The sequence below is a fragment of the Homo sapiens genome, chromosome 13 (genome assembly GCF_000001405.40).
Source record: "Homo sapiens chromosome 13, GRCh38.p14 Primary Assembly".
NCBI classification, from domain to species: domain Eukaryota; kingdom Metazoa; phylum Chordata; class Mammalia; order Primates; family Hominidae; genus Homo; species Homo sapiens.
This window is the reverse complement of record NC_000013.11, coordinates 42,580,805-42,608,286: the sequence shown is the minus strand read 5'-3', so window position 1 is coordinate 42,608,286 and position 27,482 is coordinate 42,580,805. Positions and strand designations below refer to the sequence as shown.

The window sequence follows — 27,482 nt, the reverse complement described above, 5'->3', positions numbered from 1 at the left end:
TTTTTCTCACAATATCAACATAATATAAATTTTGGCTTTTTTAAGTGAAGAAGACTCCATTTTCTATCTGGATATATCCTTGCATACAAATTCCTTGCAAATTATTTTTCAGATTCCAAGGATCATTAATTTAATTGAATCTGCTTCTAATTTTTAATTAAATCTGCATTTCTCCCAGTAACCTTTGGAAAGAGATAGAAGCCACATTACCATATTGAAAATAATAGGATCACAGAGCAAAAGAGACATGAAGGTGAAGTACAAAATCACAAGGCAGGTTTTCATATAAATTTATTTTTGTACCAAAAAATTAACATTCAAAGGCAATGTTTTTATTGTACAGTATAAGATAACATTTACTAAATTAAAATTGGACTTTTTTGCTGATAAACCACTAATAACTTTTCTATTTTGAAAAAACAAAAAAGGTACAATTTGCGGCACTTGTGGAAAAACACCTGTTCAACAATTATATAACTACTCTTGACAGATTTCAGTGGCCCATTATGTATCCTTTTTGGCAATGTCAGCTTTCTAAAGTCAATTAGTTTCTAAATTTGAAAGGCACCTGGTGGCCAACATCCTGCTTATTATTCAAGGCATCCATTTTAATTTTTTTGCACAGGCTTGACAAGTCTGAAAAAATCTATTAACTTAAAAAGAACGAAGAAATATACTGCATTTGATATTAGGAAACAACATTTTTTTCCCCTCCTTAGCTGCAAGTTTTCCCCAGGGAATTTACAAAGTGCACCAGTTAAATATGTCTGTACATTTAAAACATTAAATATGTCAACAGCAAGACATTTTTAAATATTTTGAATCAAATACTATAGCACAAATATAATTTACAATACTTTGCAAAGAAAACATTACATCTGAAATATAACTTTAGATATTATATAAAAATACATATATTTTCTCTCCTCATTAGAAAAAGTATTTTTTGCAGGTTCCAGCATGATGTAACAATTCAAAAGAATTTGCCCCTTCAGATGATCCTTCAATTGCGCTAGATGACACCCTCTCCACTTCAGCTGCGAAGGGGCACATGACCAGGGACCAACCCCTCCCATAGCCCACATGCAGTTTCTCATAAGGTCACCCCGTAATTGCTCCAATCTGGTTTAATTCTAGGAATTCATTACAAAATTTAAAAACCATTGTGTAACACACCATGAGTCTAACATCTCCCACTGGCTGTAAATACGCGTGTTCTCTACAAGGTCAAGAGCATGGATACTGAGTCGTGTACCGTTGGGGCCATGCCTCTTAGTAGTCTCACACACCTATATACATCTTTCTTGGCTTGTTTTAAAAAATGTTTCCAAACATCCAGGAAATACATAACACTCCAAAAACTGGGGCTCAATCTATATCTCGAACTTTAAAAGCCCCAAAGTATGTTGCATCCTGATCCGGATCCAGTAAGGAGGGGTTGGAGACCTCGATGCTGATTTCCTCTCCAGACCGTAACTTAAAAAATCCACCAACGTTTATGGAATAAAAATGGAATTCAGAATTCCCTGACCAATACTTGGTGCTTCCTCCTTTCATCAGGGTATGAGAACTTGGGATTTTGATGCTGGTTTTAGTGACGTACACCATTAGTTGAAGATACTCTGTAGCTAGGTCTCCTGAAGTTTCATGATGTCGAAAGCAAATGTTGGCATACAGGTAATAAAAGCCATCCTGATTAACTATTAGTTTTCCATTGCTAAAAGTCATGTTGGAGATCTTGGCCCAACCCCGATCATGGTACCAAGAGGACAGACTCACTTTATGGGAACCTGTGGAGAAGAGAGGCATAAGATTTGAAAGTCAGTCCTTAAATGAGAAGGACGTCTTCACAATTCTATGAGGTTAGGGAGAAAAAATAGTATAGCAGTCATTATTTCAAAGGGAGAATAACTTATTGGCATTTCTTTTCTAGAAGGGGAGAATACATTCAGATGTACTTGGTGCATTCTGTTAGGCACAGTAGAGGCTACGAAGACAAAAACTCATTTTTCCTGCCCTCAAGGCGTCTATAGTGCACCAGGGGTAAGTACGATATGTGTTCAGAGCAGAAGTAAGGCATGAGTAACAATAGGCAAGGTTCAGTAACTCCCATGGGAGCTCAAAGGACGGAGAGACAAGAACAACTTTCCACCCAGAAGGGTAAAGAATGCCTTTGTGGAGTTGCTGCTAAGCCTGAGAACTTAAGAGAAATGGGATTCAGCCACACAGACAGGAGCAGAAAGGTCATTCCAGGTTGAAGGAAGAGATAAGCCAAAGGCAACTGAGACAGGAAAGCAAGAAACTAGGATAGGAAGACAATTTCCACATGTCACAAGTCTCAACCTTCTCTTTTAACTCATGAAGAGGGAAAGTAGGAGATGAAAAACTGGGTCACAGTAACTTTGGCTGAAAGGTCAGACGTCTAAACTCAATTCTCATAATCTATTTTCTTCACCTCCAGTAGCCCAAGTGTCTCCCACCTTAGCTTGCACAACTGAAAAGCTAACTCCAGAGAAGCTCAAAAAGAACATATTCTTAGCATTGCACTCCCTAGCTTAACAACTTCACACAATCCTTCTGACCAAAGGTCTGTAAAGCTTCTCCTGACTGACCAGAATTCTCATTTAGCCCTACTCACCCCTGAAATGAGGTGACACCTGGTCCTCTTGCTACAGCTTCAGAGCAGTAAAAATTTCTAAAGAACCTTCTAAACCAGCAGTGTGTCCAATCCTTTTCATATTTCAGGTCCTTTGGTGTATTTTCCTGGGTCATTAAAAATTGGCAATACCTCTGTGATAAACCCAATTAATCAAAGATTTGTATTGATGTGGACACTATTGTTCAACTGGAAAAGCTGGTAACTAATGGTGGGAAAGTTGTAATACTGTGGAAAGTACAAAAATACATTTTTCTTCCAGAGGATTTTGTAAATACTTATACTAAACTAAGGTGGTCAGCAGTTTGAAATCAGCAAAACAAAGCAGAGTTGAGTCTCAGACTGGAGTTGAGAGAGTTCCTGCAGCCACAAGAAGTTCATTGCTGCCTGTCACACCCAACCACAACTTAGGTCAGGCCCTGAGATGCTGAGGGAGATAAATTAGCCCAGAGATGAAGACTTATAGTGGATTCCAGAGATCCATCAAAACTGACAGCTCTCTGATTAGAGTGAATCCTTATGAGAGCCTCATCGAGAAAGAAACACATGGCTGGGCACGGTGGCTCACGCCTGTAATCCCAGCACTTTGGGAGGCTGAGGTGGGTGGATCATGAGGTCGGGAGTTCGAGACCAGCCTGGTCAACATGGTGAAACCCCATCTCTACTAAAAATACAAAAAATTAGCTGGGCGCGGTGGCAGGCGCCCGTAATCCCAGCTACTCAGGAGACTGAGGCAGGAGAATTACTTGAATCCAGGAGGTGGAGGTTGCAGTGAGCCAAGATCGCGCTACGGCACTCCAGCCTGGGAGACAGAGCAAGACTCTGTCTCAAAAAACAAACAAACAAAACAAACAAAAAAAAGGAAACACACACTAGTTACCTTCCCAGCCTAGTCTGGTTTGGTGGGCCTTGAACATCTACATCCTTCTCTAGAGGCCCACAAGATAGAGAATGTTCTACAATTTTATCTCTAAAGAACTGGGAGCCTGGGATATGATCTGGGAGCCTCAAAACTAGGCTGTAGGAACCAAACAGGCAGTTCTTTCAACCACTTGGGAGAAAAACTGCAGCAAGGGCCATCCAACGGTGGGGCAACCCATCATGAGAAGACCAAGAATTCAATGGTTCCAATCCCTCTGTCCAGAAACAGGATATTTCCTGAACTCCACAACCTATCTGCAGCGGGGTCATCACAGGCCCTCTTGCCTCCTGGGCTCACCACAATAAACACCCTTCTTTTTCATCGGAGGTCTTATTTCAGGTCATCCCAGATTAAAGCACCCCAGATATAAATACCATCATCTGGCCCCAAGTGAGTGAGCATGATCATCACACCTTCATGAACACTAGTAAAAGCAATTCCTCTAATCCATTGACAAAATCCATGAAATTCAAGATGTTTCCCATCTCAAGTTATCCCATGCTGCCTTCATTCTTATCCCACTCTTGCAGTCAATTTGTTGTTCAATCAATGATTTTTCTTATAGTTATCTCTTAACAGAAGAGAAGTCTACCCTCTCAATGGGATGGATCAGCTGGCGTTAGAGCAAGATATGGCCTAGGAAGGCAAGGAAAGAATATGAAATAGAGAGGCAGGAGAAGAGAGGAACCTTGACCGATTACCATTCCCATTGTTAGGTAAGTCATGTGGAAGAAGTGCCCTTATTTCCTACTAAACATCTCTCTATTTTTGTGCATTGACTTACTCATACATTCACTGGTTCATGCTTTTGATCAGTCACACAATATCTACGTGGTGTTTTTAGGAACAGGCAGTCTGCCCGTAATTAAGAATTACATCAACCAACTGTGCCTTAATGGCACTCACCACTAATAGTAGAGAAAATAGAAAATGAGCATATAAAATATGCATTTTCACTTCTGCATGTTGCATAGCACATGGTTGACATTCAGTTACAAGCAACTGCCAAGAGACAGCTACAGAAATTCATGGCAAGCAGGAGAGCTCAGCTCAGGAAGGGGCAGAGAAGCCAGAGGACAGTGGGGCCTTGGGTCAGACTTGGATGGGCTGAGAAAAGGGAGGGTATTGTCAGTGAAGGAAACTGAGCAAAGAATGGAATATGCATGGCACGTATGGGGGAAAAGGAGGAGAGCCAGTCAGTGTGAAGAGAGGACTCAGAAGCAGATAATACCAGGTAAAAACATGAGAAAAATATGCAGTGATCACACAGCAGGCCTCACATGGAAACCTGGATTTTCATCACTGAGGCACACTGACAACCCCTGACTCCAGCCTGCCAGCTTTCCCAGCCTCCCCTGCCCTACACTTCAGTCCCTGCTGCTAAGTACCGCAGAAGAGGTCTCTGCAAATATTTAGCCTGAGTATCCTCCTAAAGAAAGCCATGTATTCTGACCTCACTAAATACTTCCCAACGCATTTCATCTAAGATATTTTGAAAATGCAAGTGGTATCAGTCCATATAAGGCAGATTCTGATTTTACTTGTGTAAGTAAGTATAAAACAGAGCCCCAAAATGAACATGCAAATTTAAAGCCACTTCCTCTGAAACCTCCAGTACTGGCCAAAACTGGGTAATAAATGGACTCAAGGAGTTGTGGGCCCAGCCAGAGCCACAAATTCTATTTTCTTAAACAGAAGTATACACTAACTCATCTCACTCAGTCACAAACTCAATAACTGTCAGAAAATAACCAGGAGTTTTGCCTTGTGTTTTTGGCAATGATTTGATGCTAGGTGCCTGCAGAGAGAGTTTTATAACTAAAACATGCTTGCTATTGCCAAACAGACTTTGGCAAACGGTCTAATGCAATATTTATCATATGCCATTTAAAGTGAACTGAAAAGATAAATGTAGGGAACATTAATAGCACACACAGCTGATGCATTAGTATTAATTTGACTGCCTTTGCTAACATGCAAAATAGTTTTCCACTCAGAGAAATTAATACAGATGCATCCATATTTATTTGATTGCCTTTGCTAACATGCAAAACAGTTTTCCACTCAGAGAAAATTAGTGTAGCTCCACCACAAGACATGCATAGACACACAGTGAGACAAATTATTTATGAAGCAAGTGTCTGGGACAGGAGAGGTCATTTGGAAAATCCTCTAAAAGCCAAAGAATTGGTTTCTCCCTTTCTGTGTCTTCGGTCAGGAAAAATTCCCCCTTGTCCATGCCGTAACAAAGTTTTCCAAATAACTTAGCAAAACTTGAACTTTCTTTCTTTAACTCCGAGAAAAACTTGCCTTAAATTATTTGTAGGAAAAAGGTGGAATATGTATAATTATTTAATTGAACTCAAAAATAACAAATCACACTCCCAAGTGCTTACTATGGCCGTTCTTCCACACAAGAATGTTAGCAGTCTACCTCATTTCATCTTCATAGCTACCCCTTGAGGCAGATGCTATCAACATCCCCATTTTAGACATGATGAAGCTGAAGCATATGTGATTGCAATAAATTGTACAAGGTCACAGAGCCAGGACAATGGAGCCTCAAACCCAGGCAGTCAGATTTTAGCACCCCTGTTATTAGACGTCACATGAATCTACTTCTCACAGGAAAAGAGAAACATAAGGGCTTTGAATTCTTTCCCTCTGGCCAAGCCAACTGACCACAAGTACCTTGTGGCCTGCTTATGTGATAATAGAGAGCATGGAAAGCACGGACTTAGCAATCAACGGGACGGGAATTCTACTTCTAATCCTATCATCATCATGACTGGGAACAAATGACAACCTATGTATCATTCAGTTTCCCTGTCTGCAAAATTTGCGTGATAATCCCTACCTTGCAGGATTGCAGTAAGGATGAGAGGTATTGAGGAAGGGGAAAACACCTGATTGACAGGTGGAAGAGTTCATCGGGTAGTCACAGACTCAGCCATCTCCAGTAGAGTGCCAGGGAGGACACCTGAAGATCCCCCTTTAAGATCTTCAAGTGTTCCATTAGTGGCATGATGATAACAAGAATGTTCAATTGTCACTGTATCATAAAGTTCTGTTATCTTTTTGATAGCTATCTAGCCCATGGTGAAGTAACCAGTGGGGGTTGTATGATGGAATAACTGGTGTATTACAGTAGCTGTAGGCAGAGAGCTCCGGGTTTCTTCATTTTCAAGATAATCAGGTCTCTAGTCCATCAAGCTAAGCATTTACTCAGAGAAAATGATAAGCCCTTGGAGAAGGGGGAGGAGATCTCATTTTCTAGAGGGTTACTGTCTCTTAAAGATCTTAACGGGGGTCTAAAGTGTCCTCCCTGGACCTCTGCAGGAGATAGCTGAGTATGTGACTACCTGATGAATTCATTCACCTCTGAGGTCAGCAGCAGGGCTGTGTCAACTTTAGCTTGGGAAAGTACAGATGAGCATAACAAAGGATTGTCCTTCCAGGTTACAGGCTTTCAGCTGGCAGTCATTTAAAATAAGCATCCATTCTGATGATCTGAAAATGAATAGGGTGATGATGTCCATTCTGACATTTTTGAGAATCACAGTTTCCAGGATGTGAATCATCACCTGAGGATGAATGGTCTTTCCTTTGGCTTTGAAGTAAGGGCTCTCAAAAATTCAGTGACAGACTAAAAATAGGTTTCAGTATTGAAATGGGCTGATAAATGACTCTTAAAATATTTTTCAGGCTGGATGCAGATAGAGCTTACCAGATGGGATGTCGGTGGCATTAATAGTGAGATGAGCAAAAGGCTGAGCTTCAAGCTTGCTCCTCTTGGCCAGATCTAACCATGAGCCATCCACCATCGCTGGAGATGAGAGAAACCATATTATTATAGCCAAAATAGTAGTGACCCTGTGGGATTTCATACAGATGTATGGATCCATGCTTACCTTTCTCTGCTCTGATGTGCTGTGATCCAACGATATGTTGTAATTCCTGAAATAAAAAGGAAAAATAATTTTATTTATAAAATCATTCTTTCTGTAAAGCAATAAGAATTCAGGGCTGTTACATATGCAACAAATTAACCCTCTTTTCCTTCCAAAGGTGCCATAGTAACATTGGCAGTGAAATTCCTATATGTATTAGGTGGCTATCAATGGAAGTTCCCCCAAAAGAATTGGTGTTGATGTGTTTGAGATCATACCCAACTTCAAACAAAATACTTTGGACGGTAAGAGGAAGTAAAAGACGATGTAGATTATAAACCATGGCGTAATTGAACATAATTAAAAATCTGTAGCAGGTACACAAATGGAGATGAAGTTAACTAGGAAAATAACAACTACACAGAATATATGACCCTCTTAAATCTTCTGGAAGGCTCTTTTCATGTCTATTTCATTAGTGAATTTCTGTTATAATACTAAAGCTCAGCCCACAGGAAAGAGAACGATGCTTAGCTCCCAGTGGTTAATTTTTTACTTTAAAGTTACAGTGTACTTAAAGCACTATATGGAAGTCTAAGAGCCTTTAGAGTACCAACAATTAACTTAAAATATGGCCACAAATAGAGGATTAGAAGCACAAGCCAGAAAAAAGAAAAAACATAAAGAGTATAGGTAATTGCATATCTCAATTTGAACCCTGAGAATAAAGGATGAAATAGGTAACCACATGCCCACCTGTATCCAGACATTAGCTGACACTAAAATGTCACATCTTAGGGCAAGAGTAAGGTGGAGGGGATGAAAGCTCAGGCTTTCACCTTGGTTCAAGTTCCTGCATAAACGGAGGATATTAACAGCACCCCATCACAGGGTGCTTGTGAAGACTAAAGGAGATAATGTGTGTAGGCACTTAGCAGAGTGCCTGGTAAATTTAGATGTCTATTATATACCCATCATCCCAGCACTTTGGGAGGCTGGCATGGGCGGATCACTTGAGGTCAGGAGTTCAAGATCAGCTGGGCCAACACAGTGGAACCCCGTATCTACTAAAAATACAAAAATTAGCCAGGTGTGGTTGTGGGTACCTATAATCCCAGCTACTCAAGAGGCTGAGGCAGGCGAATCGCTTGAACCGGGAGGTTGCGGGGGAGGTTGTAGTGAGCTGAGATCGCACCACTGTAATCCAGCCTGGGTGACAGAGTTAGACTCCATCTCAAAACAAAAACAAAAACAAAAAACAAAAGAGATATCTATTATAAGGATACTGAAAAAAAACCACTCTGGAGAGATTCCTAATTTCCCCTGTTACTGGAATAACTATTCATGCTAACCATTCTCCCCACGGTGTTTGAAAGATAGGCCATGCAGCTTAAGTTCTTTAAGTGTCTAGAGAGGAGGGCTTTGAGATAGACAGATAGATAGATAGATAGATAGATAGATAGATAGATGATAGATAGATAGATAGATAGATAGATAGATAGATAGATAGATAGAGGCAATAACATAATTTCAACTGTTATTAGCTGGAAGGATTCTGGAGATAACATTTATTCTTCTTTCTGCTTCCAAACTTCTGAGAGAGAGATAAGAATCTACGTTGTTTTTAATGACCGTTGGAGGAGATAGCACAGCTGTCTTCACTGACCTGTTCTGAAGTTCTAGTCACAGTGCGGCTGACTCTTAGAAAGAAACCCTAGGACTCACTCAAAGCCACTTTCTGCTGTTGCCTAGACCCAGGGCACTACACTGCACAGCTCTGGGAGTGCCGTGTGCAGGGCGGGTATTTAGGCACATGGTAGCCCCTTTTGGGTTGAGTGGCCCTTCCCAGGCCTCGTTTTCTTCCCCACTCATGTCAACCTCCAGTCTTCCAAGATTTCCTCAAGACCTCCGGGTTCTCAATGGTGCCTAATTTCTGGAATTTCCTAGTTTTGTCTCCCCTGCCTTCACAACAGACTTATAGATAACACAGTGCATCTTTTTCTTTCTTTCTTTCTGCAGGTTTTTATTTTCTCCCTTAAGGCTATAGGAAAATTTCATTATTAAGCTGCTCATGGCGCTCTACTACCTGCTGCAAATGTGAGTGTAACTGTGCGGTCTTTCTCACATCAGCAGTTTCCCAGCCATTGGGCCCCTTATCCTTCAAATGCTACTGCTTGTTTAGTTGGCTTTTGGGCATTTTTCTTGCTGCAGCAGGTGCCAAGTGCTGCGGAAGTGTGGGAGTGTGTGGAGGGGTCTGACATGTAACAGGGACATGCCTTGATAGCAGTTTCTTATTTCCCAGTTCTTGTCAGGCAGGTGGATGGGTGGCCTTAGGGAATAGACCTTCCTCTGTTCATCTCTTCTTCACTTTGGTGCCAGCAAAGCTGGATATGCAGCATATCTCTAAACATTGTGTATATCTTTATATGGTTATATATACACAGTATATCTTTACTTGATTACTGGCTCTTAAAAGATTGGAAGAGGAACCTTGGTGACAGAGTAATTCTGAGATTGAACGCTACCCCTCATTTTCCCTCTAGCTCTGATCTGCCTTTCCATCAGAGGAGAGATGGGGAAGGGGAGAAGGAAGCAGAACTAAGTCTAGCATATACCTACAAATGCCTGTTTTGTGATTTTCTATACAAACACACTTATAATCAAGAAAGCCAGGCCAGGCATGATGGCTCATGCTTGTAATCCTAGTACTTTAAGAGGTCAAGGTGGGAGGATCACTTGAGCCTAGGAGTTTGAGACCAGCTTGGGCAACATAAGGAGACCTCATCTCTATAAAAATTAATTTTTTAAAATTAGCTGGGTGTGGCGACATCCACCTGTGCTCTTCAGGAGGCTGAGGCAGGAGGATTGCTTGAGCCCAGGAGGTAGAGGCTGAAGTGAGCTGTGACGTGCCACTGCACTCCAGCCTAGGTGACAGAGCAAGACCCCGTCTAAAAAAAAGAAAAGAAAAGAAAGAAAAAGAAAAACAAGAAAAGTGCCTTTGTCCTAGCTCAGTGGTCCTCAAACTTGAGCATGTATGCATTGCACCACCACCTCCTGGAGGGCGTGTTAAAACAGGCTGCTGGGACCAGCCCCAGAGTTTCTGATCCAGTAGATTTGGGGTGGGGCCTGAGAATTTGCATTCAGCACCAGTGAGCTGGTGTTGCTGGCCTGGGGCCTCATCTGAGAATGACAATCCCTTTCACATCCTCAAAGATTCACAGAGGCACAGACTGGAGATTTTCTGGGAGCTTGATATCCAGGCCAAAGAAGCAGCAGACTCAAGCCACCGATGCAACGGACAGGGAAAGTTTGTCCTCTTCTACCCGGGAATGAACTATGAACTTTTCTTTCCCATTTAATCAGAAACTTCTAGGTCAGAGTTGCTACGGACCCATTTTGTTTCAGGAAAATTCAGTAACCAGCAGCACCTCTCAGATGCACTTTCAATGTCTGCTTTAAAAAAAAAAAAAAAAAAAAAGAACAAAAGGCTTCATGACCCAGGATGAATTAAAACTCTAGCTAGAGACCCAAGAGGTAATGCTGCTCTCATTTTATACCTTTTGGGTGTTGAAGGATTGCAATTCCCCTCAGAAACCTTATAGGTAAGTTTCAGAGTCAAAAAGAGAGCGCATGACTGTCTATAACCTCAAGGTACAAAGAAAGTATTCCCAATATCTGTATCTGCACCCCAGCTTTTTGAGCTCTAAAACCATTGTTATTTATGTGCACAGATATCAATCATAAAAATAACATTCTTCTAAGACTAGACTTTTAGGGTGTCTTCTGGCCTTGAGATTGTAACTGAAGTTTTGTAGGCAGTACTTGATGCATTCCAGTGAGGGACCTGGCTGCGCAGCAGAGACACCTAGGCAGTTTAGAAGATACCCATACCCTGACCCCAACCTCAGCCAGGATAATGAACCCAATTAGTCTGATAGTGACTGGGTAGTTTTTTAAAGATGCTCCCAGATGATAAGAATATGTAGCAGGTATTGAGAAGCATTGTTACTAATTAAGTGTTCCCATGAATAGTTGTTTGGTGACATCTCAATTTAGTTAAGGGTTTACTATAGTCTCATGACTTGCATATATATTCCACGTATTGAAAATTTAATAACCTCTTACATTTGTAGACAGCAAAGTATTTTCCCTGTTACCATATTTGACTTTTGTTAGAATCAGAGCCTGGAAAACTATAACTACTACTAACCTCATTTTTCAGACTGAGAAATGGAGGCAGAGAGAGAATAAGGCTTCACCTAATAAAGCTGAGACTTGAACTTTGGTCTCTGGATCTGTATGCCCATATCCTTTTACAAGCCATCGTCATAAAATACACTCCTGAAAGCTGGGACAAAATACCACTAGCCCACCCAGGAATCCCTAGCGTGACTCCCTCCCTGAAGCAGTAACTCTGAAAAGGTGGCTCACCTTGACTGGCATCTGGCTGCTGGGGATCCTGGGATCTGACAAAAAGGAGCCGGGACATCAGAAAATATGATCTCAGAATTCCCAGGGGCTTCAGAAAACAACTGGCTGAGAACTGGCCAACCCATGTTTATGGCTTGGCTGATGAACCCCCAAGACTAAGACCTGCAGGACATGGATAAGGGACATTGCATCTCCAAACATGACCCTATCGAGTCCACTCCACAAAGCTGGAGCCATTCCATGTTGCCATCTTCTCAAAGATCAGAGACCTTGCTATGCACATGCCAAACACAGACCTTTTGATAGCCCCCTAATATTTTTCATTTTCAGGATTATAGGAGTCCTTCTGAAGACGAACCCAAACTTCACCCCAATTGACAATTCCATTTATTTTCTAAGCTTTGCATTTACATTTCTTTTCATCCACATTAGTCCTCTACATCTGTCAGATTAATTAGAGTGTTTTAAAATTTCTATAGTTCTTTATTCCAAAATCTTATCATTCAGACGGCACTGCCGGTTTCTTTGAATTCAGAAAGTTCTGATAATCTAATTTTGGGAAAATACTACAAAAGAATATCCCGACTCCTTTCTTCTGAACAAATTATTCACATGAAAGAGATCTTTTAAAAAATGTATGTACATTTTATCTTATTTTAAGCCAGCTGTAAATTAACAAAAACCAGTTAGTTAACACTCTGAATAAACATCCAACACAACCACATGTTACCTACGCCATCAGAATGCCTGTAGATTTGCGTAGAGAAGTGCAGGTAACTTCAACAAACCTCTCAGCGAACAGCCTGGAGCAGAAGCCAGAAACAGTTACCAGGCTGAGGAAGCTGGGCAAAGGACGCCCCTATTTTCTTCTCTTGGCTAATGAGCACCCATGTCCAGCTTCCCAGGAGGATTTGTGATCTACCTTCTCAGGATACGGCATATTCATCATCTGTTACACGCTAGGATCATTAATAATAAGTTACCAAGAAAATTCACATGAATGAATAAACTCATTTATGGTCACGCTGTAACAAGTAGGCCTTGCAATGAATTTATGCATTTTTAGATAAGTGCAATTTTAGATAAGTAAATTATGATAGCTTCATTTAACCCTTCAAAACAAGACAAAAAAAGGAAACCGAACTACCAAAGAGAGCAACCAAAGAAATCTCTGCCCATTCAAGGATAAAAGAAACCTTCTGAGATACTGCCACCTAGTGGACGCTGTCCAACATTGACAATCCTGACAACGCCGCAGTCAGCCTTTGCAGATTTGAAACCCCAACGTCTAAAAACAATAGAGATGAGGATATTTCACAATATTTTTTTAAAATCTTCTCATTGTGGTATTTTTCTATTTAGACTGCATTAACTTTTCATCTTTGCTGTCAGAGTACATTTAAACAGACAGGAAAACAACCAATGTGATTTTTTTTTTTAAATTTCAACTTCTATTTAACTCATAAAAAAATGCTGGGATTACACAATTTCTTCTGCAGGAAACAAAGTACACAAAAGATCAATGTGATTGTGTAACTGTGGTCTCTAGTACTGCCTCTCCTGAACTCAACATCCAAGAAGTGCAATTCCCAGGAGCCTGGCTGTGCAGACTTTGTCTCTGGTCCATTGAGACCAGCTTCCTTCAGATCTTTTAAACATCTTTTCAAACGTTTTAGGATATTTGCCAAACTTAAGGAGGAGGGAGATGTCTCAGAGCTGGCTCAATCTCAGTAAACTAGGGCCACTCAGGAGAGATGGTACTGTGTAAGAATAAGTATAAACACTTAGGAGTATTTTCAACTCCTTTAAGTAGTTATGGGAATTTTGCTTCAGGCAATTTAAACATTTACAGCAAAGGATACGCCCCTCTTTGTAAATTCAGCTGAATAACTGCCCCAAACAAGACTTTGATAACATTCCAATTCAGGAGAGAATGTTATTAAGTTGTTTTTAAGATTGTTTTACTACAGTGTTTTTTTTTTCAACTTACAAAGTAATATAAATAGGCCTGGTGCAGTGGCTCACACCTGTAATCCCAGCACTTTCGGAGGCTGAGGCAAGTGGATCAACCTCAGGCCAGGAGTTCAAGACCAGCCTGGCCAATACAGCAAAACCTCGTCTCTACTAAAAATATTTTCAAAATTATCTGGGCATGGTGGCAGTTGCCAGTAATCCCAGGTACTCGGGAGGCTAAGGCACGAGATCGCTTGAGCCCGGGAGGCAGAGGTTACAGTGAGCCGAGATCACACCACTGCACTCCAGCCTGGGCAACAGAATGAGACTCCATCTCAAAAAAAATAAATTAATAATAATAATAATAAATAGATTTCAGCTCCAACTGAGAACATTCTCAGCTGCAAAGATATTCTGAAAAGGTCAAGTTGCTGGAGTCTGGGCTTATCAGACTGAAAATCTCACCTGTGCATTGTGATGTGAATTGTGTGATCCATGTGGTACCTGTCAATCAGAGCACAGAAGAAGGAATTTGTACAGCCAGATGCTTTGGAAATCACTGGCACCAGCTTATAGCTGGGGTCTCAGGTGGCTGCCTCCCTCTGCAATACCAGCAGCAGCTGCAGAGACATCTGGCTGGTTGAACAAGGATTTAACACCCCGTTTGCCAGATATAATACAGGGTTCATACACTTGTTAACATATGTAATGCATTCATTTTAACATCTTAATGATACCCTTCATGTAATTCTTCTCCAACCTAGTTACAAGAATAGTGCATTCATCAGCCGAGTTAGCACATGAATGCCACACATGGGTTATTTCTGAAAATGAATAGCCAGTTTCCAATTCCTGCAGAGAAGTCCTGCAGATTTCCACCTTGTAAATAGCTGGGAAATCCATTCCCTCCTCTCCAACCTGGGTACCACTGCCTTCCTTCAAGTTTTCATCATTTCTCATTAGGACTAGCATAATAGCTTCCTACCTCCTCTTCCTGTCTCCTGCCCTCCTCAAAGTGATCCACTGAGGTTAGAGTGCATCCTAAAGTACATGTCCCTTCTTAAAATCCTCTGGGGGCTGCTTCCAGACTTCAGGTTCAAGTCCACGTTCCTTACCAGGGCTTAGAAGGCCCTGCATAACTGGGCCTGTGTAATATTGTAATATAATAAGAAATATGCAATTCGTCTTCATCCCAGGTTCCTAGCACTGAGCTCCTAAAGCCTTTGGAATTTCCCGCATGACAGGTGTCACAGAAGCATCCTTTGTTATTCAAAATCAGCCCCTTCCAACCTTACCTGAGTTTATGCTAATGATGTGACCCTTGGAGAATGGGATCTGGTTTCCAGAGGGACCGGTCATGTGATTAGAAGATTGGATCTTTCAGTCCCAGCCTGTATTAGTCTGTTTTCACACTGCTATAAAGAACTGGCCAAGACTGGGTAATTTATAAATGAAAGAGGTTTAATTGGCTTACGGTTCCGCATGGCTGGGGAAGCCTCAGGAAACCTACAGTCTTGGTGGAAGGCAAAGGAGAAGCAGGCACCTTCATCACAGGGTGGCAGGACGGAGTGAGTGCAAGCAGGGGAAATGCCAGATGCTTATAAAACCATCAGATCTCATGAGATTCACTACCATGAGAACAGCATGGGGGAACCACCCCCCATGATCCAATTACCTCTACCTGGTCCCACCCTTGACACTTGGGGATTATGGGAATTACAATTGGAGGTAAGATTTGGGTGGAGACACAGAGCCAAACCATATCACACCCCTTGACTTCCTGACCTCCCGGTTGACATCAACCACCAATGGCCAATGATTTAATAAACTATGTCTATGTAATGAAGCCTCCATAAAAACTCTCAACAGTGGGCTTGAGCCAGGGTAACCACTGCCTTCCTAGCAGGTGAACATGCCAGGTGCTGAGGGAGTGGCATGCCCTGAGAGGCAAGGAGGCTCCACGACCCTCTCCATCCCCATACCTGGCCCTAAGCATCTCTTCCATTGGGTGGATCCTGATTGTATCCTTTATAATAAGCTGGTCATAGTAAGTCAAGTGCTTTCCTGAGTTCTGTGAGCCATTCAAGAATATTACCGAACCTGAGTAGGAGGTCATGGGAACCCCCGATTTGTAGCTGGTTGGTCAGAAATACAGGCAACAACCTAGCACTTGTGAATGGCATCTGAAGTGGGACAGTCTTGTGGGGCTGAGCCTTTAACCTGTTGGGGCTGTGTTACCTCCCAATAGTTAGTATCATAATTGAATTGCAGAACATCCAATTAGTGCCTGAAGAGTTGGAGAACTGCTTTGTGTGAGGGCAAACGCCACATATTTGGTGTCAGACAGGTTATGAGAGTACAGAGAAAAACATTAGTTTTTCACTTAGTCTGGTTACCACTCCGAAATCCCCTAATATTCTTCCCCTGTACTCCCAAACCTCATCACCTGGAAGGAGGCTCTGGGATGCCATAGGTTCCAGCCTCATGAAATTACTCTTAGTTCCACCTGCAAGAACTCTGCCCTCCTGTACATGCAGACTTTTGCACACACTGCTCCCTTGGAAAGCTGCCTTAGCCAGTGTTTCATCAATAGCTCATCCTTAATTGCAACGCTCTTATTTCCACGGCATTCTTGGCTAACAAGGCACAGAAAGAGTGGCCACTGGGTGTTGTGCAATAGCTAATGAGATAGGCTTTAGTATCGCTGCCCCAGCCTCTCGCTTTCCTCCCTCCCCTAAAGCTCACACTGACCTTGCAATCCACAGGATGTGGGGGAACACATATATGCACCTGGATGGAGCTGGTGACCCCTGGTTCCTTATGAAGAGCCCATAGTGCAAAAACACCCAAAGCAAAGAACTTTAAGAGCAGGATTCATTGAGTTCTCTGTTGCCTGAATACATGTTATAAAAGATCATGGTGGATTGCCCTTCTCAGCCTAGGTTCCGTAGAGCAGAGCCCTATAAGACACCAGGAAGGGAGAGGACAGGAGCACTGGGGGAGGTGAGAGGGCAGGTCCTCACCCTCCCCAGAGGAGAGGGGAAAAATCATGAGGTGGGCAAGGGGTCCAGTGGCCCAGCAGGCAGATAGGAGGAGCGAAGGTAGGTAGGGTATAGACCCCACTCATCCCGAAGGTAAAAGCCATCCTCACCTTAAATTTGTAACTTAACATTCTGATCCCTATAATTCTTTATTTTTAATATAAAAGTACTGACTAATCAAATTCTCCCAAAGCCAAACTCTTGTCAACATGAATTCTACACACTCCGCACCACCACTACCACTGCACTCAGCCTCCTAATTGCTCCAGCTCCTACTGAATCAGCGGCCACCATCCCATGCCCATCAGTGAAAATTCTCAGTGAAAAACTTTACCAAGATGTGAGTTGGCCTCCTCCCCAAACCCCAAATACAGTCACTGGTGGATCATTTCTTCCAAAAGAAGTCTGCTAATTGGAAGAGACTCGTTTTTGCAAACAGTTCATGTCCTCTACCTACCAAAGAGCTAAAGAATAGCATGTCCTTGTTTTCATAAAGCAGACTGATGCTTTTCCTGGGAGTGCGATGGGTATGCTGGGAATAGAAAATTAGTTTTTATTGTTTAACCTTCATGGTTTAAATGAGAAAGCTTCTGCTACAGATAAAGGTCCCCTTGGGTTTTCATAAAGTAGTCTTATGACAGCAATGTTAGTCTTCATAAAGAGCCCGATTTTCAAATGTCTTATACTATACTACTGGTTTAAAAAGTGTCATCTAAAAGTTTGGCAGAGTAACTGCAGTGTGGCATCTTGGGCTAATTGTGCTATTTACCATGTCTCTGTTTTCCTCTGCCACTTGAAAAATAATGCCACCTTCCATTGGCAGTGCTTTCTACATTGACAAATCCTCATCTCTTCTGGAAAAGACTTTGCTCTCACAGACTTCTCCCTAAGAATGAGACGCAAAGGGGGTCAGAGATACCAGGCCAGCTGCTTTAGATCCATGAGGCCAGGAAGAAAAGGGCCAAGGCTACCAGTGAAGGAGCACCCCCAACCCCAAGGTCCCTAACGTGTTCACGCTCCAAAGAGGAAAAGAGCTCTCCTCTCAAAGAAGCAGGAAAACACTGAGCTTGCGAGTGACCTCCAGCCCCTTAAGAATCCTATGGATTGATCACATGGCTGGCTAGCTTCTGGCAATATTAAACAACTCGCCACCTGAGCACACCAAGTGTGCACACATAGGGCACAGGTCACTCACATATTCATTAAACTTGTTCTTTAAACTTTCACTGAGCACCAACTATGTGCTTGCCACTGGGGCTGGAAATGTAGAAAGGAAACATCCCACAGACCCTGTCCTTGGGAAGCTCACATTCAAGTGAGCCAGTTCACCCCAGGTCCGTGTGGTTACTGCTGTTACAAGAAGCCCCGTGTGGGCCCAGGAGGGGCACCTACCCCCACAGGTGGGTGGGCGGGCATCTGTGGGCTCCTCCTCCAGGAAGTAATGCCTGAGTTGGATTTTAAAAGACAATTAGAAAACCGACTACACAAAGAAGGGCATGGAGTGGCATACAAAGGACTATGCACAAAGACTCATCATTCATTCATCCATTCATCCATTCATCCATTCAACAAAGTTTACCGATGGAGGCTAGGAGTCAGGAGTCCTGTGGGTTTCTGAGGACACTGTTCGCAGGACAGACATGCCCTTTGCCCTCTCTGCACTTGCTGATTACTGCAGAGAGGCAGAGAGGCGAAAGGGTATGGCCAGGTCGGGAGAGTTCAGCACCATACTGTGGTGAGGCCGTGGAGTACAAGTTGCGATGGAGGCGATGACATGGAGCATTCAAGGTAACAAGCCTGAAGAGGCAGGGGCTGGAACGAGGCTTTCCAGAATACAGAGGACTTTTTGTTACATGTTCAGCAGCTCAGACTTCATCCTGACAACCACAGCGATCTACTGAAGGATGCTTTAAGCAGGAAAAGAAATGACCTGTTCAGATGTGCATTTTCGAAGTCCCTCAGCTATGGGAAGGATGGGCCAGTGGCAGTGAGGCCAGGAGGGGGTGGCCAGATGCAAGGATGCAGGCAAGAGAGGATGATGACCTCTGTTCATGTGACCACACAGTGAGCAGAGTAGAGACAATACTTGAAGGTTTTGTAAGGCGGTAGAATTCACAGGATGGGGGAGAGGTGAAGAGTGGGTGAATAAAAGGATAAGACCATCTTCTGACTTCCAGTTTGGGGTGGTGGAGATAATGGTATTGTCATTCACCATGAAAAACTAGATCAAATGAGAAGCAGCCACAGGCACTGAAGAGAAGAGTTCTGAGTGCTTTCAAACTTTTTGATGAATATGAGCCTTAGGGTTTATCATTATGATGATTATTTTTACTGGTACCACCACCACCACCGCCGCCGCTACCTAGTGTTCTTGAAGGGCAAAGACTGAGGACAGGAGTAGCAGCCTAGTGATGCAGAAGCTAAGTGAGAATGGAACTCCCCAACACCCTGAACTTCCAAAAGTTTGAGCAAGCATTTGTTGTCTGGTCATCTCAGAAACAGACAGCTCTTGACAATTTCCGGGACCCACCTCTTTCATACCACACAGGCTTCACACTCCTTCTCAAATATAGTCACTTCATTCACCATGGCTTCCCTGTCCACCAGTGGCTCTCACCTCTTCCTAGGATGCTTTGAAGAAATCACAGAGTCCACCCCTGAACTGCCAAATCAGAGTCCCCACTGATAGATCTGGAGGACTTTTCTCTTCTCTTTTTAAAACAAGGGCCCCAACTGAGTCTTAAGATCCAGGAGGTTTGGAAACACTGCTCTAAGGCACATCCCGCTCTTCAATTACACAGGCTGTACCTCTCCTGCCGCTGCTGGTAGAACAATCCAATCTATCCCTTGCTGTCATGCTCTCCAACCAAGGACCCTCAGTTTCATCCACTTCTGGAAGGTTAGCCCAAGATCCCAGGCCACATAATGAAGGCTCCTCTTTCAAGCATGTCCTTCCAGCTCTCTGTTTCTTTAAAGATGTCATGCAGAATATCTTTTCTTCCATCCTGGGGTACTTGTAACACAAAGAAAAGCCCACCTCTGACATAACTCACCGGTTATTTTCCTCTTGCAAACCCTCCTGCTTCCTACCTTCTTCCCTGGGTCTCCCCTGAAATTGAGTACAAGCCAATAACTTATTGTTGAGCTAAAGCCAATAGATGGCCTTGGTTTTGTAGGAAAACTCTGTGGGTCTTACTTCAGCTTTCCCATAAAGACAGCTTTTATAAACGCTAAATGTGATTGGGGTTGAATTGCAGTTTCCAAAACTATTATGGCAAACAGAGATGAAATCCTATTGGAAAACCACTACATGACTAACATCGTGACTTGGGAACATGAGTGCTCCAAAAACCAAGTACCCTTGTGGGTTTATGAGAAACTTTCTTCGGACACATACTCTTGTATACAAAGGGAAAGAGGCAATGAATGGGGTTTAATCCCTCCTCTCCTTTTTTTAACTAATAGGCAAATGAGAAATAGTGGCATATAACAACTTCAATGATTACAGTTTCACAAGCAGTTACAATCTATTTAAATTTCATTGATTTCTTATTTACATTAGTTCAAAAATAGGAATGAGCTCCTTATAATAATGGAGATTGCAATCCAAGGGGATCTGTTTCCCATATGTAGAAAACACAATCACTTAATCTGGTGAACTTTCTAGTTTTTAATTAATGCTCTTTTTAATCTACAAAACCTAGCAAAAGCGGTGCAGGTGACAATCAAGGTTTATTCCACAATCACAGATGCAATCTCTAAACAGACCTTTGAAACTTCCTCAAAAAGATGAATGCTGTTGAATCTACTTTCAAATTTCTCTCACTCTCTTGCAATCTAAATAATCCCAAAGTATTTTGACCTTTTGAAAATACAATCTTGACCATTAAAATTTTTAATAGACTTATGTGTTCTCAGAGTTAACTCTTGCTTATATATGGTGAGTCCTCCTTCCTACCTAAATGGGGTTTAGTGAATGTCAGAGACTGCTCATTGTCCCCTCATCTCCTTCCACTCCTTTTTGCCTATTAGTTATAGGCAACTCCCTTCCTCAAGCTTTGTGGACAAATGGCTGCTCAGCTAGAGACTACCTTGTCCAGTCTCCCTTGCAGCAAGATGTGGTTTATGAGTAACTTCCAGCCGATATGATGCTACTGGAAGTGATGTCTCCACTTCCAGGTACTGTCTTCAGTTTTCTTTTACCCTTCCCCTATCTAGAAATAACAGCAAATGGAGAAGCCAACTTAGAAACAGAGATGGAAGGTTCATGCTGAGGACAGAGGAGCATCCCTACTGGTCCTGGATGACTCACGTCTGGATTGTTATGTGAGAGGGAAAAAGTTTCTTAGTTAGTTCACTGAATGGATGGGTCTGTTTGTTACCCAGCTCAGACTATACCAAATAACAGCAAATACTTCATTGAGGATCAAAGTGCTACAAATCTTTGGGTATATTAATCTTAATATCAGAGGATATTGTGAATTCTGAATTCTACATTATGAATTCTGAAGATGAGGCCAAATAGGTACCTGATTCCCAGGGAATAAAAAAGAATTTCAGGTAAGAATGAATTGTTTAATAATTATGGCTCCCTGGTCTTACTTCCTGTTCTCCAGTTAAGTCTTTAGAGACTCAAAGGCTTATACTCCAGGGAATGGTTTGTTGAGGATATGACAACAAGATAACTTATCAGCAGTCATTACAATACCATTGGCTTTTCATATTTTGGAGGGAAGTTAGAGAGTTTTATAAAATTTAACTCATATATGGAGCCAGAATCATGTTTTTAGTTCACATTATAAGCCCACCTCTACATAGCAGTCAGGTTATGCAGAACAAAGAAGCCTGATGAAAATGTGACTGATGTGAGAGGGCCAGCTGGGGGTAACTTCTAACAAAAATAAACCTGTGTTATTATTGTACTGAAGCATTACTGCCTCAGGCCATAATATTCCTAATTATCAATTGTAGGACTGGTAAGACAGCATCGTATAAATAAGAACAAGGCTTGTAACATTCTGAATGGCTTTATGAGTTCGTTGATGTAAAATATTAGTTTACAGAGTTCAATAAGTCATTGATCATTTGTTCATGCTTTTCTCCATTCATTCCTGAGAATAAACTAAGTGTGATATATTCAGATGTGCGCGAAATGGCTGTGGCCCTTGTCCTGATGGAGCTTGCAGCTTCACTCCATGATCTTCAAAAATGGCTGACTGTGCAGCTCCATCAGGGAAAAAATTTTTCATGCTCTGAAATGTACATATGTATTTATTTAAATATTAAATAAAATCACTCTCGTATATTTGTACATTCCAAAATATTTACTAAAGCACAGCTTTTAAAAGCTAATATTAAAAAATACATATACAGAAAGTCCCTATGCTTCTTTCCCACATCCCAGGGGATCATCTTTAATGCACTGAACATCCCATTTTGGAGAAGAATGTGATTTGTGCAATTTGTTTATTGACCTTTCTCCTGCACATTATTCTTTCAAATGCCTTTGCAAGTAAGTTTCAGGAAGGTATCTGCAAACAGGTACCCAATGTGAAATTAACAAGCCAGCACACTAAAGTCAAGTGCAGTCACAGCTCAAGTGCTCAGAATGTATAGTAAGTGCATAAACAGATGGCTTTCCACCCAGTCTGGCCAGGGGGTCTATGGGCTGAGTGTCCTCTCTGCCATTTTGGGAGTCCTCGTTTGGATCTGAGTTCACTCCTTCCTCACCCCCCGGCTGGCAGAAGCAGGGAGGCTGCCAAAACTGGAAACAAGAATCACTTTATAAATCAGACACCATATTTGTACTAGTGTTTTCTTTATTGTCATAGACTGTTATGATAGACTTTATAAATTGTGGTTGGTAGGGTTGGATCACTTAGAGGCTTTCAGAGTTCTGTGCTAAAGGGGGTGGGGGAAGCCAAGAAAACCCAGCCACAAACAAAAATGGGGAAAAAAACAGCATTACATGTCTGACCAAAGACATGTTGGGTAAACACCACTTTTCGCACACATATAATGTGATATTGTGCTTATGTCTGGTATCTGTTACCACTGGAGGGGTTGATCTCCCAATAATGATTGCAGCCACACATGTAATTTTGTTTTAAGGGTTCACTCAATATCTACATTAGAAATAAAACTAAGGTACAAACTTACTTAAGAATGCCTAATGCATCCATCCTATTTTTAGCATTGGCAAGAGAAATGAGAAATCTGATTATTTTGGCAAGATGTGTAGAATGTCACATTAACCGATAATCCTCATCAAAGGATAACACATTTGGCAAACAATTATCTGAATAGAGTAAGAGAAGGGTAAATCCTTGGGCATAGGGAAAGACATGGCAAGGTGCCTAGCACATTACGTGCACTTAATGAACACTGATTGATTCTAATGATAAGGTATAAATAAGACTTGTCTCTTTCCTAAAGATCCTGTCTAAGGGGAAGAAATGGCATCTTCTACCTCCAAACACACATTGGTATAACAGCTTTAATTTATAATTCTTTAAAAAGGATTACTTGTGTCTGATATTATTACCTATGCAAAAAGGCTAAGATCCTATAACAAAACAAAAGCAAATGTGAAATTGATGAAATAAAGTTCTACTCATCCTGTGAGTCATAATAACCTATCAGTATAATTAAGACTACGTGCCCTTAATAAGCGCAGTTGATTATTCTTGCCTGACCACCAATTTTCTCCTTATGGTTTGCCAAGTAGTGAATCGCTCATTATTAGTGTTACTCATTTGGAATGAGGCATCATGTCTCCAAAAGGATCCTAAAATAGTGAAAATTCTGCCATTATTGCTCACTAACACCTTTACATACAAATTGCTTTTCCATACTACCTAAGGAGTCACTTAGAAATCGCAAACGAAGTGGGATAATGTTCTGATGAGGCAGGAGGTGGCAGAAAAGTTCAGTGAAGCCACATTAAGTGTTAAGGGACACTACTGCCAGTGAGCAACAATTGGCTACCAAGTACTCTCTCAATCTGGGATTTATTTTTACTTAGGACAAGAGAAATTACTATAACTTTTAAAAAAGGATGAACAATATGCTTTTTAAGAATTCAGAATATGTTCACTTATTTAAAGTAATGTTGTATTATATTAAATTATATACACACATACATTCACTCACAGAGAGACACACAGTAAGCCGCTTGTTCTCTTCCATGGATTTGTCTGCTGTCCTTGGCCCAAGTTATACCTCAAAAATTATGACTGTGCATAGTTATGTCTTTACATTATCCAATTGTATTTTAAATGCCTCTGTAGAGGTTTCTAGTTTTATTCCTATAAGCCTTGTACATTTCTTGTTATGTTTATTTTTAGAGCATTTAAAAATTATGAGTGAAATCTTTCACTCATGTTTTCTAGTTATTTGAAATAAGGACAGCTAGTGATTATTACTTATTAATTTTTACAAACTGATTTATTTTATCCTGCTTGTAGCATTTCAGCTTCTTTTGAATTTTCCTAAGTATATAATTATATCACATGCAAATTCTGCCCTCTTTTCTCTATATATATTTTCTTATTTCATTCTCTTGTGTAATTACATTAGCTGGCACCTTCAGAACAACGCTAAATAACGTAGGGACAGTGGGCATCTTGGTCATGTTCCTGACTTTAAGAAACATGCTCTTATGTTTAATCATTAGGTAACTTTTAGTTAAAACTAAATGTAAAATGTTATTTAAAATTTTACATTTATGTAAAAACATAAAAAGTTATTACATTCGTAATAACATCAAGAATCCATCCAGTTCTGTTTTCTAATGGATTTTAAACATCAGAAATAGTGCAAAATTTTGTCAATCACTTTTCAGGATCTATAAGATGATAATATATTTTTTTCCTTTAACCCGTTGGTATTGAACCACTCTTGCAGTCTCATAAATAATGTTAATAATCTTTTTCCTTCCTTCCTTTCTTCCTTTCTTTTTTTTTTTTTTTTTTTTTAGCAGGGTCTTGCTATGTCACCCAGGCTGCCAGGCTGGAGTGCACTGGTGCAACCGCAGCTCACTGCAGCGTCCACCTCCCAGGCCCAAGCAGTCCTCCCACCTCAGTCTCCTGAGCAGTTGGAACTACAGCACAGGTTGCCATGCCCAGCTAATTTTTTTTACTTTTTGTAGAGATGAAGGTCTCACTATGTTGATCAGCATGTTCTCAAACTCCTGGACTCACGTGATCCTCCCACCTCGGCCTCCCAAAGTGCTGGGATTACAAGTGTGAGCCACCGTGCCTGCCCTTGTTCGTAATATTATTTATTTTCAGAATTAACTTGGCTGATTTTCCATACTTATTCTTCCATAAGGAACTCAAAGGGTAACTTTTAAGAACCAGCACACCAATGAAATAAAAAGTTTATCTCATCATTTTGAGGAGTTACAACATGAGTCAATCTAAACAGAACATTAGGGCACAATCTTTTGCCCAACCAGAATTACCTTAATATGAAATGCCATTTTGAACTAGCAGATTGCCCCTAGTGCATGTGAATAGGTTGTTTAAAGACAGATTACTCAGTATTTAAGAGATAAGCTTCACAAGTGGGACAATAAGCAAACGAATGAAAATGAAATATAAAACAGAACAATAAAAATGAATAGATTAACAGAATTGCTGTTGCTGTTGCTCAAAAATTACACTGTAACATTAAGGATCACTGAATTTAAACATATACATCTATTCTGCGTGAAGCCAAACACCTACACACTAATGATAATGAAAAAGTAATTTTCATAAGCAATGTGTTTTCTTATAGACACATTAAACTAATAGGTACTTCATGCATTCCATAATGCACAACTTTTTAACGTTTTGATATCTCTGGAATTAAGATACAACTAGAACCTCTAGAACCTATGATGATCATGTTTAATTTTTTTAATCAACAGTTTCTTCTTTCTTAGTGATGCATGAAATAACAAAGTAGGCTGAAAATTGGTAACTTAGATTCGATAAAATACAGCAAATCTCAACTATCAGGGTGTTACAGACGTTTACCTTCATTAGCTGGCTTTATAAAACAGCTACATCTTCCTTCCTCTACCTCTGATGGTATTACAGACGTTCACCTTTGTTAGCTGGCTTTACAAAACAGCTACATCTTCCTACCTCTACCTCTGACACATGTCCTCTTTTTAAATAATTATATTACTATATGTGGATTTTTAAAAAATAAACTACATTAGAATTAAATTTAGAGGTAAGGGCTTTGAGAACTTCAAGAGTTACTCTGGAATGACCAGAGACCCAGGGAGTTGCAACACAGAGGCTGGGATGTAGAAGTGGATGCATGCATGCAGGTATATAACGTACACACAGGTTTTGCACTGGGGTCACTGTTTGTGTTCTACCCGGGTTTTGGTGGAGTCAGTGAGTAAAATAATTCTTGGGCTGCAGAATTCTCAAGTGGCTTTGTCCAGGAAAGTAAAACTGGCAGTTATTACAGTGTTTCCCAACTGGGGCTGTCGGTGTAAGAGAAGTCATTGGTCTTCTCTGTCCCTAACTCTTCTCTTGTCACTCAGCTCTCCCAGAAAATGAGAACACGGACACAGAATCTCCATCTCACATTGTTTCCTGCTCTGCCTACTTCACCACAGATGACAGCAAAGGACCAAGAGTTACAACTGCTTCTCATCAGAGCCCTGGATCAACAGATGTGGAATAAGGGGCCCTGCCATTACGAAGCCAAACAGAAAGGAAACAGCTACCAGAAAGTCCTGTGAACTGAGCGGATGGTTTTTAGGTCAGGGAATTCAAACTAGCATACTGACTCACAGACAGGCCACAGCCACCTTAGTCTTAAGGTGTGAATTTAAGTGTGAATTTAAATCCCTCCTCTTTAAAAGAAAAAAGAAAAGAAAGAAAAGAATATTTGCATGAACGTCCCTGATTGCCATAATCAATCACTACCAACTTCAAAATAATTCTGCTAATCTCTTTAAAGCATTCCCTGTAGCTCTTTTACAAATTATTAGAATAAAAAGAGCAGAGTCAACAGCACTTAGCCAGTTTTAATTTTCAGTATTGGTAGAGTCAGCAAGGGCCCTTGACTTATCAGCCTCGATGTGGACTTACCTTTTGCACAGCTCCTTGAAAGGCCTGTTTAATTCTCCTACATGAATCAGGTATTAATTTTGTATCTTGACTCTCCAGAGTTGTGTCTTGAAAATCTGCATTTTCATGGAGTCTCAAAATTCTATAAATGCAGTGAGTGCCATCTTCTGATATTCTATTAGGATCCATCTGAGGAGGAGAAACAGTAAGGACGTTAGAGTGCTTATCACTAGTCATCCTGCTATTTAATACAGTGTGACTTAAGAACAAAAAATTCATACTCGCAAGAGTCTTTATGTCCCCAACAATGAATAGTTAATACAATGAACCTCAAGATGGTGAAAACGTTGACTTCTAATTCATTTGAACGAGTAACTGACTATCATCCACAGGACAAGGCACAGTTAGTCCTGCGATGGGCTTTTAACAATGACAGAAGTGTATGTGCGTGATTCATGGGGGAAATTGTCAAACTTGTCTAACAACATGAAAGTGTTCATAGAGGGGAGG

At 41.1% G+C, this 27,482-nt stretch overlaps 1 protein-coding gene and 1 long non-coding RNA gene across 7 annotated transcripts in view, besides 4 other annotated features; one reads left to right on the top strand and one right to left on the bottom strand.

Moving 5' to 3' along the window:
* The window catches only part of TNFSF11 (TNF superfamily member 11), a 45,278-nt gene continuing 18,069 nt past the window's right edge, over positions 274-27,482 (bottom strand). For all 6 annotated transcript variants that reach the window (NM_033012.4, XM_047430707.1, NM_003701.4 and 3 more), the window contains 4 exons: positions 26,994-27,161; positions 7,490-7,535; positions 7,306-7,404; positions 274-1,790 (listed from right to left, as the gene is read on the bottom strand). In NM_033012.4, coding sequence (NP_143026.1) covers positions 1,369-1,790; positions 7,306-7,404; positions 7,490-7,535; positions 26,994-27,161 — 735 coding nt within the window. In that variant the 3' untranslated portion in view covers positions 274-1,368. The remainder of the gene's footprint in view (positions 1,791-7,305; positions 7,405-7,489; positions 7,536-26,993; positions 27,162-27,482) is intronic.
* Positions 6,536-7,735: an enhancer, noted in NCBI's record as "P300/CBP strongly-dependent group 1 enhancer chr13:43174688-43175887 (GRCh37/hg19 assembly coordinates)". NCBI's record gives its function as "activates an origin of replication core promoter dependent on BRD2, BRD4, P300/CBP, MED14 and CDK7 cofactors, with strong dependence on P300/CBP, by STARR-seq in HCT116 cells {active_cell/tissue: HCT116}" and the evidence as "EXISTENCE:reporter gene assay evidence [ECO:0000049][PMID:35650434]".
* On the top strand, positions 6,691-7,562 carry LOC124903163 (uncharacterized). The gene is made up of 2 exons (XR_007063766.1): positions 6,691-6,774; positions 7,284-7,562. It is a non-coding gene; the product is annotated as an uncharacterized LOC124903163 (long non-coding RNA).
* Positions 12,826-15,052: an enhancer, noted in NCBI's record as "VISTA enhancer hs1393". NCBI's record gives its function as "enhancer in: forebrain[6/7]" and the evidence as "EXISTENCE:transgenic organism evidence [ECO:0001131][PMID:17130149]".
* Positions 14,311-15,018: an enhancer, noted in NCBI's record as "OCT4-NANOG hESC enhancer chr13:43167405-43168112 (GRCh37/hg19 assembly coordinates)". NCBI's record gives its function as "activates a minimal SCP1, AML or CMV promoter by ChIP-STARR-seq in primed H9 embryonic stem cells {active_cell/tissue: H9 hESC(primed)}" and the evidence as "EXISTENCE:reporter gene assay evidence [ECO:0000049][PMID:30033119]".
* Positions 26,151-27,350: an enhancer, noted in NCBI's record as "BRD4-independent group 4 enhancer chr13:43155073-43156272 (GRCh37/hg19 assembly coordinates)". NCBI's record gives its function as "activates an origin of replication core promoter dependent on BRD2, P300/CBP, MED14 and CDK7 cofactors, and independent of BRD4, by STARR-seq in HCT116 cells {active_cell/tissue: HCT116}" and the evidence as "EXISTENCE:reporter gene assay evidence [ECO:0000049][PMID:35650434]".